The 17,199-nt window shown below is 40.2% G+C and overlaps 1 protein-coding gene across 9 annotated transcripts in view; it reads left to right on the plus strand.

The window, feature by feature from the left end:
* Positions 1-17,199, plus strand: part of TRAF5 (TNF receptor associated factor 5) — a 48,312-nt gene that overhangs the window by 28,019 nt on the left and 3,094 nt on the right. For 4 of the 9 annotated variants that reach the window (NM_004619.4, NM_001033910.3, XM_047429572.1 and 1 more), the window contains 7 exons: positions 1,714-1,815; positions 5,259-5,423; positions 6,049-6,126; positions 6,435-6,509; positions 10,723-10,815; positions 14,799-14,939; positions 16,649-16,817. In NM_004619.4, the coding sequence (NP_004610.1) occupies positions 1,714-1,815; positions 5,259-5,423; positions 6,049-6,126; positions 6,435-6,509; positions 10,723-10,815; positions 14,799-14,939; positions 16,649-16,817 (823 nt within the window). Of the gene's footprint in view, positions 1-1,713; positions 1,816-5,225; positions 5,424-6,048; positions 6,127-6,434; positions 6,510-10,722; positions 10,816-14,798; positions 14,940-16,648; positions 16,818-17,199 lie in introns of all 9 variants that reach the window. The other 5 variants (XM_011509960.4, NM_001319207.2, XM_011509959.4 and 2 more) reach the window with 2 other exon arrangements.

Raw genomic sequence — 17,199 nt, forward strand, 5'->3', positions numbered from 1 at the left:
TTGACCACACCCCTCCTCCACCCCAAGTCTCCTCTCCTGCTTCTTCCTCATCCCCTTCCTACACTGGCTCCAGCTAATATATTTCATTATGGTTTTGATTTGCATTTTCCTGTTGGCTAATGAAGTTGAGCATTTTTTCATGTGCTTATTGGCTATTTGTACATCTTCTTTGTTAAAAATGCCTATTTAGTTCCTTTGCTCATTTTAAAAAATTGAGTTATTTACCTTTTATTGTTGAATTATAAGAGTTATTTATAGCCTGTAATCCTAGCACTTTGGGAGGCTGAGGCAGGCAGATCACATGAGGCCAGGAGTTTGAGACCAGCTTGACCAACATGGCGAAACCCTGTCTCTACTAAAAATACAGAAATTAGCTAGGTGTGGTGGTGCATGTCTGTAATCCCAGCTACTTGGGAGGCCGAGGCACAAGAATCGCTTGAACCTGGGAGGTGGGGGTTGCAGTGAGCTGAGATCATGCCACTGCACTCCAGCCTGGGTGACAGAGCAAGACTCTGTCTCAAAAAAAAAAAAAGTTCTTTATATATTCTGGATATAAATCTCTTAGCAGACATTTGGCTGCTAAGATTTGCAAATATTTTTCTTCCATTCTGTGGGTTGTCTTTTCCCTTTCTTGATCGTGTGTTTGAAGCACAAAAAATTTTCATTTTGATGAACTCTAATTCATCTATTTCTTTTTTCTTTTTTTGGTTGCTTGTTCTTTTTTGGTGTTGTATCTAAGAAACGATTGTCTGTTCCATTGTCATGAAGACTTTCTCCCTTAAAACTCCTCTTTAAGTTCAGTTTTCTTCCTTTAAGATTCTGTTGCAGGATGTTCAAGCAGAAGCTTTCCTTGAGCCTCTAGTCTGCTGTACACGCATCTTCTCTATACTCCTTATGAGGTGTTTTGCAAATACCTACAACACGGCTGTGCTGCATTTAGTGTCTGTCTGACCTACTATCCAGGGGTTGGCATACTACAGTCTTGGGACAAATCCAGCCTGCTACCTGTTTTTGTATGGCCTGTAAGCTAAGAAATTCTTTTTATGTAATGGTGGGTGCATAGAAACCCTCATATTTTTGCAACTTCTTGTGAGTCTTAAACTACTTCAAAATAAAAATTCATTTTAAATAATCCAAAGAAGAAAGTTTGGTGACATGTGAAATTCAAATTTCAGTGTTCATAAATAGTGTTTTATTGGAATGTAGCTGTGCCCATTCATTTAAGTATTGTGTATGGAAAAGTTGAAATGTGGCAACAGAGATGATCGTGATGTGGACTATCTGACCCCTTACAGAGAATGTTTGCCGACTCCTGGTTTGCGCTAAAATAGCAAGCCAGCACAGCCTCAGTGACACTGTCTGATAAGTAATACATTTACCCTGGGACAGGAAGCTGAAAGCATCACCCTTGGCCAAGCTTCACCTCCTGACCTTTAAGAATGTGGGGTCAGGTTCACCATGAGTTTCACCTAGTTGCAGCCTGGTGCGCAGGGCATTGTTACCTGGCTTGTATGTTTAATGGTTTGTCAAAAGCATGTATCTGAGACAGCCTTTTCTTTCAGTGTGGTGTAAGTGTGATATTTCCATTCCAGCTGATGTCTGGAAGTTTCCACCTGCCTTCTGAGATACACTCGAAGACCAAATTAGTAATAGCTTAATTCACATTGCTGTAAAACTTTGAAGTGTGTGAGACCTATTATGTTTATCTTTTAGGTTTTTAAAGACAATTGTTGCAAAAGAGAAGTCCTCAACTTATATGTATATTGCAGCAATGCTCCTGGATGTAATGCCAAGGTTATTCTGGGCCGGTACCAGGTTGGTATTACTCATGAACGATATCTGCTTTTGCCATTTTTCCAGGAATGTGTGTTGAACCCCTTTATGTGACAGTTACTGAGCTAAGCATGGTACAGGGATTCAGTGAATTGCCCTCAAGGATTCCCAGTCTAGCAATACAGGTGGCTACAGTGCTGTAGCCCACCTACGGCTGAGGTGTGAGTGAAGAGGTTCGTCCTGTATGGAGCGCATGGAGGACATCTTGTATCCACTAGACCTTAATTGTGTGGTAGGGATCATTGAGCCAAAAGAGAGGGCGTGGGACATGCTGGACAAAACAAACACTCAAGAATATGCCATTTTGGGGGAACTGTGTGGGACCCAGGGCATGACTACAGAAAGACACAATTGTGAGGTCCTTCCCCAAAAGCATTTGCTCTCTCACTTGGTGCTGTCGTAGGTGTTTCCCAGCAACTGTGGGACCTGGCCTCATGGGGTTTATGATCTAACGGAGATCACTCAGACCAGGACAGAGACAGGCTGTGGGTTAAAGGTGAAGCATTGATAGGAGAGACAAACCAACAAGGTGTAGGGGAAATGTGAGTGAAGGGGAATTGATGCCTTTCAAATGAAGTGACCCCAGCTGCTCTTCCTTCCAGCTAGGGAAGGTGGTTAAAGGGGAAGCTGGAAGTGTGGCGCTGCCTGGCAGGCCCATGTCAAGTTTGATCACACTGCAAGTGAACATGACTCAGGCTTCTCTAACTTCTAGGGAATTGCTGAGAGGCTGCTGAAATTTCTCCCGCACACCCACACATTTTGGAACACATATTTCAGATGATTCAGTCTTTTCTCTATCACACCTCCAAATCCCTCAGGGACTGAGCTTATAAATGTGTAAATGATTTCCTTGTTAATCCAGGAATTTATTTGGAGGTTCATAGAACTTTTGTTATGTTTTCATGTGTCTTTTGCCCCTTGTTTTGAATAGTCGAGTCCTAGAGCAAGGCCTTTTTTCCAACTTTGTTGTCACTAAGCCTAAAAAGTAAGTGAGGCTCAAATGGACCATTGAACAGCTTTAGTGACCAAAACTGGCTTATGGAGAGCAGGGCCTGGGTTCTCTCCACCTGTTTCTTTTATATTTCCCCTCATTCCTTGTTTCCCACCCACCCACTTCTATGGTAAGGTGTAGAATCTTACAGGTAGCAGAGTTTTGATGAATGTTGACTGTTTGGGTGAGAGTTGAGGAGTAATATCAACCAATTTTGGAGAAGAGATGGATTCCAACTGTGATCACCATATGATTCTTACTACCAGAGGTGAAGGAGAATAGCTGCATTTGTTTATCTCACTGTCAAAAAACTGTTTGCTTTTTCTTCTGAGAAGGGATCAGCAAACTCTCTTAAGAGTCAAACAATAATAATAATAATCATCATCATAATCATAAAAGAGCCAGATAGTAACTATTTTAGGCTTTGCAGGCCATACAGTCTCTGTCACAATTACTCAGCTCTCCCATTTTAGAGGCAAAGCAGCTATAGACAATATGTGAAGGAATAGGTGTGGCTCCTCTCCAATAAAACTTTAATTATAAAAACAAGTAGCAGGCCAGATTTGGCCTGTGAGTCTTAGCTTGCCAATTTTGTCTTAAAGGACCCTCAGGGGGACAAGTTCTCTAACATTTTGTTAACTTGCCAGCATCACAATAACTGCAGTGATTCAAAGGTTTTCACTGAGATATGCCTGCTTTTAAACCTCTAGAATGTTGGCCAGGCGTGGTGGTTCATGCCTGTAATACCAGCACTTTGGGAGGCCGAGGTGGGCAGATTACTGGAGATCAGGAGTTTGAGACCAGCCTGGCCAATGTGGCAAAACCCTGTCTTTACTAATAATACAAAAATTAGCCGGGCATGGTAGCTGGTGTCTGTAATCCCAGCTACTTGGGAGGCTGAGGCAGGAGAATCGCTTGAAACCTGGGAGGCGGAGGTTGCAGTGAGCCAAGATTGCGCCACTGCACTTCAGCCTGGGTGACGGTGCGAGACTCTGTCTAAAAAAAAAAAAAAACAAAAAAAAACCTAGAATGTCCAGCCTGGCCAACATGGTGAAACCCTGTCTCTACTAAAAATACAAAAATTAGCTGGGTGTGGTGCACACCTGTAATCCCAGCTAATCTGGAGGCTGAGGCACAAGAAGCTCTTCAACCCAGGAGGTGGAGGTTGCAGTGAACGGAGATTGCGCCACTTCACTCCAGCTTGGGTGACAGAGAGAGACCCTGACTCAAAAATAAAATTAAAAAAAATAAAATAGAATGTGAAGAACCCTGGAATGAACACTGTCCATGTAATCATTCTCTAATATTAAATAATATTAAATAGTATATATAGTTATATATTACATATAATATATTAAATACTATAATATATTGTTTATAATAAATACATTATTGACATGTAAATAAATGTTTATTTTTAATAATAAATAACAGAATATTTAAAATAACTTTTAAAATAAAATTAGAGAATATTTAAAATAAAATTTAAATAACTTATTATTTGTGTTACCTAGGCTGGAGCGCAGTGGCACAATCATAGCTCACTGCAGCCTCAAACTTCTGGACTCAACTGATCCTCCCACCTCAGCCTCCTGTGTAGTTGGGACCATAGGTGTACACCGCAACACTTGGCTAATTAAAAAAAAAAAATTGTGGAGACAAGGTATTGGGGTCTCACTGTGTTGCCCAGGCTGGACTTGAGTCCTGGCCTTAAGTGATCCTCCCATCTCAGCCTCCCAAATTTCTGGGATTACAAGCATGAGCCACCACACGTGGCCAATAAAGTATTATTAATGGTTAAAAATATTTCCTGACTTTACCAGTCTGACCATTCCTAGCTTCTCTTGGGCTTGCACACCTATATTTCCTCTGCCTCCTTTTCTTTATCATTTCTGGAATAGCTTACTGTCCCTTCTTTTCATCTTCTTAATCCTTTCCCTTTCTTCCTTGAGTTAGGATATGCCCTTCTCTCCTTTTTTCCTTTTCCTGTGTCCTTTTACCATCTGCTATGCAGAGACCCATACCTGATGCTGGAGGTTGGGATGAAGAGTCCACAAAAGAAATAAAAATGTCCTTGAAGAACTGGTAAATTAAGGAAAATATCCAAGAACTAACCTGAGAATATGAGCACATTATTAGATCATCTAAAACAAACTTGGTGTACTTCCCTCTTCACCTATCTTCCCCTGTCCTCTGAATTTCCCCCAGCCAAGACTGGCTTTCCCATCTCTGGTACAAGCAGCCCTCCCCATGCCCTCTCCTCAGCAGAGACAGTGGGCAGCATCCCCTGAGAGCCTACCCTCTGCCTTGCCCTGTGCAAGCCTTTCTGCCCAGCTGCCCACCCTGTTCTCTCTCCCTCCCTAGGCCTTCCAGCTGACTTCTTTCCTACCACCCTGGTCAGCAGGTCCCACTGGCCTGTTGTTATCTGTTGCAGGATCACCTTCAGCAGTGCTTATTTCAACCTGTGCAGTGTTCTAATGAGAAGTGCCGGGAGCCAGTCCTACGGAAAGACCTGAAAGAGCATTTGAGTGCATCCTGTCAGTTTCGAAAGGAAAAATGCCTTTATTGCAAAAAGGATGTGGTAGTCATCAATCTACAGGTGAAAAACAACACATACAACAGTCATCTTTATGGAGCTAAATTATGCCTGAGTGGTCACAGTGAATCAGGTGGAATGCCAGAAGAACATTCCTGCATTTATTTTTGTACAGAATTAGGTCTAAAGAATTTGCTTTTTGGAGAGAAGTTCTGTGAAAAGCTTAAAACCTTCTTGTTGGTAGCACTCCATTTATTATTGGCAAAAATATTATTTGAACACATGCTGTGTATGTGTAATGAATGCTGGGTGCTGAGTCACAAGGAGGTGACAATAATGTCTACTCTCTGAATTCTGCAGTGTAGCTGGGGAGGCAGGATGCAGGCATAAAAAGAAAGCATGGGTACCTTTTACATGTCCCGAAGGAGCTATGCTGGCAGTTCCCCAATCTACCTTCTTTGAATCCTGTGTTCTATGACTTTCTTTTGGAATAATTGGAAAATTTAATATTTTAATTAAGTTCATTTACACCTAGAAAGTGGACATCTTTAATCCTTTTTTGGAATTAGGCAATAACTTCCTGTAGAGAGTAAGCCACGTGACATATAATCCCCAAAGAGACACAGGTGTAATCACTGTGAGGCCATGAAAGACAACCCTTTGTTTTATTGCACTTTCTCTATTTCAGAATCATGAGGAAAACTTGTGTCCTGAATACCCAGTATTTTGTCCCAACAATTGTGCGAAGATTATTCTAAAAACTGAGGTAACTGCAAATAATCCTCTCTGTAGATTTTATGGAAGATAACGTTTTAGTAATCATTGTGGTCTGTGTTTGATACAGTCCCAAAGATAAGGGCCCAGGGCTTAAATTACACGCATGACCATGACGTATCTGTCTTCCCTTCTCTTTTTCCTGCGAACTCTCTTCAACTTTCATCATAGCTCTTTCTTGCCAGGCCTCTCTCCTTCTCCTGGTCCTTGCCTTCTTCCCAAGCCACTCTTGGCTCCCTGATTGCTGCAGTTGGAGAATAAGTGATGAATTTCTATAGCTTGTGACTATCCATTTCGTAGGTAGATGAACACCTGGCTGTATGTCCTGAAGCTGAGCAAGACTGTCCTTTTAAGCACTATGGCTGTGCTGTAACGGTATGGAATGACTTTTTGTTTCTGCCTATACATTCTACTGTATAATTCACTTGGCAAGTTCAGTTTACTCTCTGTTCCATCGAGGATGGAGAAAGACATACAGTTCTGAGAAATTTAAGGCTAATTATTTTAGAGTTCTCCAGAGAAACAGAACCAATGGGATATATACATATATAGAGAGATTTATTTTAAGAAGTTGGCTCTTGCAGTTGTGGGGGCTAGCAAGTCCAAAATCTGCAGGGCAGCTCAGCAATCTGGAAACTCTGGCTGGAGTTTCTATGCTGCAGTCTTGAGGAGAAGCATTTTTTTCTTCAGGAAACCTTAGTGTTTGCTCTGAAGGCCTTCAAATGATTGGATGAGGCCCACCACACTATGGAGGGTAATCTGCTTACTTCAAGTCTACCAATTGTTTTCATCACATCTGCAAAATACCTTCACAGCAACATATAGACTTGTTTTGAGCAAACAATTGGGCACCATAGCCTAGCCAGGTTGACACATAAAATTAACCATCACAATAATTATTCGGGTTTTTTTTTTTTTTTTTTTTTTTTGAGACAGAGTCTTGCTCTGTCACAGGCTGGAGTGCAGTGGCATGATCTCGGCTCAATGCAACCTCTGCATCCTGGGTTCAAGCAATTCTCCTGCCTCGGCCTCCTGAGTAGCTGGGATTTCAGGCACCCGCCATCATGCCTGGCTAATTTTTGTATTTTTAGTAGAGACAGGGTTTCACCATGTTGGCCAGGCTGGTCTTGAACTTCAGACCTCAGGCGATGCGCCTGCCTCGGCCTCCCAAAGTGCTGGGATTACAGCACCGTGCCTGGCCCACAGTAATTATTTCTAATTTTGATTCCATTGCCTCCACCTGGTTTGGGAACCTTCTGGGGTTACTCCTCTCATGATTACAAATCCTGGTTTTATGGTGATATACTCTTGTATATCACCAAGTATACTGAAACAAAATGGACTTAAAATCGTGTTTTAATATGTATGTTATTACCTTTTAAATACTTTAAAATAATAATGAATTACACAAAATAAAAATAAAATTTGATTTCTACTTCAGTCTTTTTAATAGATTCCAGGTGGAGCAAAGTTTTAGGCATTAAAATATGTCATGCTCTGTATTATTCTGTATTTTCTGTAAATCTAAAATTATTCCAAAATAAGAAGTTAACTTCAGAAATCATGAAAATACTAGAAGGAAAAATGAGTGAATTTTTTTATTCTTAAAGAGGCTGGTGCGATGGCTTATGCCTGTAATCCCAGCATTTTGGGAGGCTGAGGTGGGTGGATCATTTGAAGTCAGGAGTTCGAGAGCAGCCTGGCCAACATGGTGAAACCCCGCCTCTACTAAAAATACAAAAGTTAGCTGGGTGTGGTGGTGCACGCCTGTAATCCCAGCTACTTGGGAGGCTGAGGTATGAGAATCCCTTGAACCCGGGAGGCCAAGGTTGCAGTGAGCCAAGGTCGCGCCACTGCACTCCAGCCTGGGCAATAGAGTGAGACTGTCTCAAAATAAACAAACGAAAAAACCCCCCCAACAACAACAAAAGCCCTTTCTTAAATGACTAACACAAAACCAGAAGCCATAATTTTGATAAATTTGTAAATATTTAAAACTTCTGTATGATTTTAAAAAATACCATAAAGTCAAATAGCAAACAGTGAACTGGAGGGAAAAGTTTGCAACATATGATCAGACAAAAAAAAGGGGGGGGCTATTTTCCTTAATATACAAAGAAACCTTACATGTTAATAACCTACTCAACTTAATGGAAAAATAGGCAAAGAAATATAGTATATGGGCAGTTCCAGAAAAAAATTCATTTGGCTGATAAATGTAAGAAAAGATGCTCAGTTTCACTCCTAAATAAATATACATTATAACAAGAAATATACTTTAATATCATCAAATTGACAAAGATTAAAACATCTTATGATATCTCACTTTTTTTAGGGCAATTTGGTTATCTCTATGAAAATAAAAAATGAATCCACACATTGACCCTGCATTTCTGCTAGGATTTATGTTACAGATATCCTTTCTTAAGTTATACAGTGATTTCACATACACAAAGACACACAAAGATGTTTATTCTACTATTGTTTGTATAGCAAAAAAACCCCACAACCCAAAGCTAAAAACAACCTGTAAGTCTATCATTAAAACACCAACTATATAATTATGTATTCATATTTTAGAATACTATGTAGCTGATAAAAATGAGATATATGTAAAAAATTAAATATAGTATGTTCTCATTTGTGTTAAAAATGTGTATATCCTTACTGACACTCTGGTAAAACTAGGAAAGTGGGTGTGGAGATGGACAGAAGAGGCCTTTTACTTTTTATTCTTCATCTTATGTTGTTTGACATAAGCACATATTTCTTTTATTTTAAAAACCATTTGAAAAAATGTATATTCTGAGAAGGATTTAAAAAAAAATCAGCGAAGAGTCTATAAATTTGTCACATATCAAACCAGAGGTTGTCTTGGCTGCAAAAAGAATAGGGTTTACCTTTCTTGTGCATGAGCACAATTGTCCAGCTTGGGCAACATATTGAAACCCTGTCTCTACCAAAAAATACAAAAATCAGCCAGGTGTGGTGGCGCACCCTGTAGTCCCAGCTCCTTGGGAGGCTGAGGTGGGAGAATCCCTTGAGCCAGGGAGGCAGAGATTGCAGTGAGCCAAGGTCATGCCATTGTACTCCAGCCTGGGCAACAGAGTGAGACCCTGTCTCAAAAAAAAAAAAAAAAAAAAAAGCAGAATTGCTTTCTAGCTCTAAAAATGATCTTTACAGTCAGGCCCAAATCTCCAGTTGGTTTGTATTCTAGAACTTGCCTCAGCACCAGAGCTTGGGATGGCTGGGGGAGTTATTCTCCGGAACCTTATTTAGGACAGCCTGTCACCAAAGAAGCCAACCCTAACCCGAATGAAAATTGATGATAAATATTTAGTTAAACTGCATGGATCACCTTGAACACCTAACAAACATTTGCTTTTACTGTAATATAGGCAGTCTACAAAAAAAAATATTTTAATGATTAGGGAAAAAGCAACCATTTCTTCTTGCAAATGTAGTCTATGGTTTTGAGGGCAACAAATTTGTATGGGCTGAAATTAAAATCAGGTGGCATTCCTCCTGCCCATGGCAGCCAGTCCGTGATTGGAGGCAGCATGGAAATGTGCTTGACAGGAGGAAGAACTAGCGTTGACTTAAAACTGATTTGAAGAGGCCAGGCGCTGTGGCTCATGCCTGTAATCCCAGCACTTTGGGAGGCCAAGGCAGGTAGATCATGAGGTCAGGAGTTCGAGACCAGCCTGAGCAATATGGTGAAACCCCCGTCTCTACTAAAAATACAAAAATTAGCCAGGCATGGTGGCATGTGCCTGTAATCCCAGCTACTCGGGAGGCTGAGGCAGGAGAATCACTTGAACCCAGGAGGTGGAGGTTGCAGTGAGCCAAGGTTGTGCCACCATACTCCAGCCTGGGCGACAGAGCAAGACTCCATCTCAAAAAACAAACAAACAAACAAACAAAACTGATTTGAAGATAACCCTCAAAGGAGATAGGTTTTATATGGGAATAGTTGAGAGATGATAATAACTACGCTTAACCCATAGTCATATACTCCCAGGGCAAGGAAGAAAATCAGCACTGAGAATTTTGATATTGGCCTGATTCTCTGTCTCATGGATATTGTAGAATCCTAAAGCTGGGGCCAGGTATGGTGGCTCAAACCTGTAATCCCAGCACTTTGGGAGGCCAAGGTAGGCAGATCACTTGAGGTCAGGAGTTCGAGACCAGCCTGGCCAACATGGTGAAACTCTGTCTCTACTAAAAATACAAAAATTAGCTGAGTGTGGTGGTGCACACCTGTAATCCCAGCTACTCGGGAGGTTGGGGCACAAGAATCGCTTGAACCCGAGAGGCAGAGTCTGCAGTGAGCCAAGATCATACCACTGTACTCCAGCCTGGGCAACAGAGCAGGCTGTCTCAAAAAAAAAACAAACAAAAACAAACTAAAGCTGGAAAAGGGACCCACTGGAGTCATTTTTCCTGCAACCCACCTAGAGACTGGTGCGTGTTTAAACTATTAAAGTAAGCAAAGTTGTTAAGATTCTATTTTAGCAGAATATCCTACCACCTCTTTCATTTTTGGAGCCTCTCAGCAACCTGACTTATTTTTCTCTTCATATTGAAGGATAAACGGAGGAACCTGCAGCAACATGAGCATTCAGCCTTACGGGAGCACATGCGTTTGGTTTTAGAAAAGAATGTCCAATTAGAAGAACAGGTAAATCTTCAAAGGTTCAAATAAAAAGTGAGGCAACAGAATTGCTGGGATTTACCTGCTCTATGCTGGTATTTTTCTATTCTCCCCTGTTTCAGTATAAGTCAATTAGAGGTAGATGTTTTTCTATTAAGTGGCCAAACAGGCTCATAGGATTATAGAACATTAGAATTGGAAGGTGCCCTTAGGATCCTTGGGTCCATCCTCCTCATTCAACAGATAAAATAACTGAACTCTGAGAAATTTTTATATGTTTTAATCGTAAGTAGCATAATTCAATCTCAAAATCCATGTCCTCTGATTCTAAGTCCAGTACTCCCCATGGTATACCATAACTGCCTCTCAATAGCCTGTCTACACACCTTTTGGTTAATATCTGACACTTAGCAATTTGATGTTTCAGTTAAATTAATATTACTGTGAAACAACAGTTGACTATTCTAAGCACTATGGGTTTTATAAATTTTGTGATAAGTCTAAACTGCCTTTGCAGAAGCTTTGCAACCCAATAAATGCATACATACACACTTATTTCACTGAGTTGTGATTATCAAGGGAAATTATATGCAAATGCCTGCCATAGTGCCTGTGGCATTCCTATTAACCTCAATAAATGCTGATTCTATTGAGCAATTTTTAGGAAAGTTAATTATTTTGTTAGAACATCTCAGAAAATCAGACTTTTCAAGCCCAGGTAGGGAAGAAAACCATCCATTTTCAGAAAAGGAGCTGATGTTTACTACTGCAGATGATTTTTTGATGTCTGATTTTCTATTAAAGTAGGTGTGTGAGTTCCAGGGTCAGATTCTGGAGAAAATTAGGAAGACTGATTAAACAGTAACTTTGGTAGAAGGCATGCTCCCTAGTAACCGTTCCCAAGTTTTTTCTGTATCAGTTGCCTCATTCATCCATCTTTTCATTCAAGAAACACCTACTGTATGTCAGGTACAATGTTTGCTGCTAGGGACACTGAGCCAAGGAAGATGTAGCCTCTACCCTTGAAGAACTAACATAAATGTAAACAGGTAAGTTGTCATGCCTTGTAGGACATGCTGTAACTCAGTCTGGGGTACAGAGACTGCAGCAGTTTATTCTAGGGGAGTTGGGGAAGACTTTCAAGGTAAGACATCCAAGCTGCCTCTTGAAGTAGGAAAGATTCATCAGTTAAAATGTTGTGGAAGAAGGACATCCAAAAGGGAGAGCTTGCACTGAAGCAGGGAGGCATAAGAAATCCTGATGAGTCAAGGAAATGGGGTTTTAGGATGAATGGACTTCTGAGTGTGAGATAGAGAAAGGCTAGAGACTGGTGTGTTGGATCCAGATTGCAGTGGCCTTCCGTGTAGCCTAAGAAGTTTTGAACACTGCATTCAATTATTTTTTTATCATTTATACTCTGCCTTGTTTCAGAAAGGTTTTAAGGGCCAGAAGTTTGAACTAATGTTTTTTTCAATAATAGGGAGCTAATGGAGGTTTCTTAATTGGAAAACACTTGGTCAGCTAATTGTTTGTTTGTTTGTTTGTTTGTTTGTTTGTTGAGATAGGGTCTGGCCCTGTCACCCAGGCTGGAGTACACTGGTACGATCTGGACTGTCTGTAATCTCTGCCTCCTAGGCTCAAGAGATTCTCCTACCTCAGCCTCTTGAGTAGCTGGGACTATAGGTGTGCACCACCACACTCGGCTAATTTTTGTATTTTTTTTGTAGAGACAGGGTTTTGCCATGTTGTCCAGGCTGGTCTCATGAGCTCAAGCCATCTGCCTGCCTCAGCCGCCCAAAGCGGTTTGTTTGTTTTTCTTTTTTAAAGCAAGACAGTTGGTAATAGCATGGCAATTGATAAGAGTGAAGGCTCTGGAGCCAGAATGCTTGGGTTTGCAGCCAGGCTGCACACTAGCCATATGAGTTTGGACAAACTACCTCATTTCTGTCATCCCCAGTTTCCTCATTTGTAAATGGGGTTGTGGTGATGGTAAAAAGGGATAATATAGTTAAGCTAGTAGTACAATGCCTAACACATAATAAGTACTTCAATAGTAGGTGGAAGCAAGATGCTGGAGGTGGTGGTGGTGATGGTGAAGGCTCAACCAAGTCCATGTCAGTGGACTGGAAAGAGAGAGAGTATCAAGAGGCCTTCTGAGGTTGTAAATGACATGCAGAAAGCTGAGTAGGGAGGGGACATGGTAATGATATTAACCAAGATGGGCACTACAAAACTGGAGCATGTTAGAGGTGAGGGTGCAGAGAGAGACAAGGAGTTTGCTTTTGGTCAGGCAGGTAGGTGGAAGTCAGCTCTAGGGGTCTAAATAAAGGATTCCAGGGCCAGAGATCAAATGATTGTCTCAGCCATTTGTGCATTCATTCATAAAATATGTATCAAATGCCCTCTCTGTGCCAGGCACTGTCCTAGGCTCTAAGGATAAAGAAATAAATGAGATGTAGTCTCAAGATACAATTTAATGGAGAAGACCAAAACAACAACAAAAAGCAAGTTATAAGCATGATAATGATGATTTATACACTAGAATATGGACAGGGTATCATGGAACTTGAGAGGTGGTCTCGGCGGGTGGTGCAAGTAAGGAAATATTTCCAAGAGGATGTACCCATGAGTGGAGGCTTAAAAAGTGGTAGTTTTTAGATGAAGAGAGAGGTGTCTGAGAGGGCAGAGCCTGACAAAATAGGAGTTGTGTGGTCTTGCTGGGCAGGATGCATGTGGAATGTGAATGGGTTTGAGGCTGAAAGTGTAGCCAGGGGCAGGTCACGTAGGGCCCAGTGTCACCTGTAAAAGCAAGCCACTAGAAATGTTTATGCAGGGAAGGCTCAAGACCAGATTTGTCTCTTAATATTATTCTGGTCACAGTAAGGAGTACAAATTGAAGGAGAACAAGACTAAAGCCAGGGAGAGCATTCATGCTGTTCATTCATTTAACAAATATTTATTAAGCACCTACTGGTACCAGGCACCAGTCCAGTTGCTGGGGTCATAGTGGACTGTGAGGTTCATGGCAGTTCCAGCTCCCATGGAACTTATGTTCTGGTGTGTGCTGGGGGTAGAATGGGTAGAGCAGGACCAGTTAGAAAGCTGCTGTTGCAGCCCAAGAGAGAAATAATGAAGACTGAAACTAGTGCTGAAATGAGAAATGGATTTAAGTCTTTTTGTTTCTGTTGTCATGTTAAAAGTTAAAATTGGCAACTGTTGCAGATTGAATGGATATGGGAATAAGAGAAGAGCTGTCTAGGATCAGCTTTAGGTATCTGTTTCTTTCAAGTAGATTATAAAATCTGTCAATATGCTACCCACGCATTTTGCCTATCACTTGCTGGCTTGTATGCTGGATGGGTTACTTAAACTCTCTACCTCTGTTTCCTCATCTGAAAAATGAGTCTAATATTCGTGCAACTCATAGGGTTCTTTGAGGCATACAAGAGCTAATGAATATAAGGGTATGATAGACAGTCAGCAAGTTTTTGTCATTATTACTTTTGCTACTGTGCATGTAACATTTAATGTGGTATGGTGATCAGTACTCTTTGGTGGTAGTTTTATTTTGTTTTAAGAGACAAGGTGTCACTATGTTGCCCAGGCTAGACTCAATCTCCTGGACTCAAGTGATCCTCCCCATCAGCTTCCCAGGTACCTGAGATTACAGGGGCCTGGCTTCTGTGGTTGCTTAATAAGTCCATGTTGAATGAATGAAGAGAACCAGTTCAGTAAATTCAGTCAGGTGATGTCTGTCATTAGGTGAACCATCATAGTAGGTTAGGTATAGAAAAGGCTGATGAGAAATTCTGTAGATGTGGCTTTTTGGAACCACCTGTGAATATCTTCCTATAATTATGTAGGAATCTACCCTGTAAATATTTTCCTAGAAATAAATATGTAGATTTTTTCCTAGAAATACTTTCTTAGCTGCAAGTGCATGCATATTTTAACTATATGCATGCAGTTATATTCAGTGACTTTATTTTTCCTCACGTTCCTGTTATTAGATTTCTGACTTACACAAGAGCCTAGAACAGAAAGAAAGTAAAATCCAGCAGCTAGCAGAAACTATAAAGAAACTTGAAAAGGAGTTCAAGCAGTTTGCACAGTTGTTTGGCAAAAATGGAAGCTTCCTCCCAAACATCCAGGTAAGAAATGGCCTTTGCGTTGAAAGCCAAGATTTGGCTTTCAATTGCAGTGAGAGTTTTTCTTTTAACTTCTTAAATAGAAATAATTTAAAATATACAGAAAAGCTGTAAGAATAAGATGGTGCAAAGAACACTTGTATAACCTCCACCCTGATTCACTCATGGCCAACATTTTGTCCCGTTTGCTTCATCATTCATGCTCCCCTCCACTGCTCCTCCCCCGACGTGTATGTGTGTGTGTGTGTGCGTGTGCATGTGTGTGCACGTGCTCTCTCTAAACCATTTGCGAGTACGCTGCGTATATTATGGCCCTTTACCTCTACATATTAATACTTCAGTATGTATTTCCTAAGAATAAAGATCTTCTTTTACACAACCCCAGTACGTTTAGCAATATCAGTAACTTTAACATTGATACAATGCTTCTATATAATTTATAGCAATTAGGGTTTTAATTAATGTTGGGCCATATTAATCACTTGATTGCAGATTCATTGAGAGCATCTGTAGTTCTGCATTTTGTGGTCAACAAGTGAAACTATTAATTTCCTTGGGAAGAAAATGCTTTAAACATCACTAAAATATAGCAAAAATAATACTTTGTAAATTATGAACATTAAATAACCATAAATGAATTCTGATGAATAATGTCTTTATCATGATTATAAAATTTATAGTGAAAAAGATTTCAAGACATGTGGTGTAGGCAATATATTTGAAATTTAAGTTATCCCAGAAAATCTAGGCCCTATAATTTCCATACTTGGCCAGCACATTATACATTAAACACACACACACACACACACACACACACACACACCCTTCATATACATACAATGTATATGTATGTGAAATATATATAAAGTATATATGCACATGTGTATATACATTAATATGCACAGATGCTCCTTGACTTACAATGGAGTTATGTCCTGATAAACCCATTAAGTTGAAAATATCGTAAGTCAAAAATGTGTTTGATACACCTAACCTATTAAACATCATAGCTTAGCCTAGCATACCTTAAACATGCTCAGAACACTTACATTAGCCTACAGTTGGGCAGTCATCTAACACAAAGCCTATTTTGTAATAAAGTATTGAATTCCACATGTAATTTATCAAATACTGAAAGTGAAAAACAAAATGGGTACTTTGAGTAGCCATACCTTATATTGTACACACATAGGAAAAGGGAGGAGTAGTTTTATTTAGTCTCTTCCACCTGAGAGAGCAGTCAAAAGTTTAGGCCGTACTCAGGGCCTTCTGCACCACCTGTAGAGCTCAGGCCAGAACAGGTGGGCGTATTCCATTTCATTCTCCACCTTCTAGCAGAGCAGGAGTGAATCAGGAGATTGGCTTCTAAGAAGAGAAAGAAGTGATAGGGCAAGAGGAGAAACAACATGAAAATAAATATATAAAGATAGGTTGGAGAACCAAGCAGAGGGAAACAGAGGGAGGATAAAAATCAGATAAAGAAAAGTTCAAACATTTAGAACAGGAGCTGTGGTAGGAGAGGAGGAGGAGGAAGATAATTAGGTGGCTCATCTCTCTGTGATCCTCATTGAATTTTATTTTCTGGGCTTGTATTTTTCATTCTGTTAATTGATTAAATGTGATATGTTTGAATTGAAAAAAATTTTAATCTCAATGAATTGCTAAAATATTAACTAATTTTTTAAACATGATTATCCATTTTGTAATGAAAGGTTTTTGCCAGTCACATTGACAAGTCAGCTTGGCTAGAAGCTCAAGTGCATCAATTATTACAAATGGTTAACCAGCAACAAAATAAATTTGACCTGAGACCTTTGATGGAAGCAGTTGATACAGTGAAACAGAAAATTACCCTGCTAGAAAACAATGATCAAAGATTAGGTATGTCTGATATTTTATTTCTCTTTTGGTGACTCATTTGTCTGCATGTGTTCATGAAACAACCAAACACCTGGCCAAATAGAGAGTCACATCTGTCCAGGATAAACAATGGCTGAATCTGCTATTTGTGAAAGAGAATGGTAAGATTCTGGCCACTCAGGCAAAAATGAGGGAGGGCCACAAGGGGGGTTGAGGGACTGGGCTAGGAAATTCCAAGACTGGAAACAGGCCAGCAAATTCCAAGAAAGGGATTGATGACTTTAAAGAAGAATGAAAAATAATGAGAAGACTCAGGGAGAGATGTGATGGGATCATTGTTTTAGGTATGGAAAAATATTAAAGGGTTTGGCCATTTAAAAGCATTCTAGTTAGAAAAGTTTGG

The sequence above is a fragment of the Homo sapiens genome, chromosome 1 (assembly GCF_000001405.40).
Source record: "Homo sapiens chromosome 1, GRCh38.p14 Primary Assembly".
NCBI classification, from domain to species: Eukaryota; Metazoa; Chordata; class Mammalia; order Primates; family Hominidae; genus Homo; species Homo sapiens.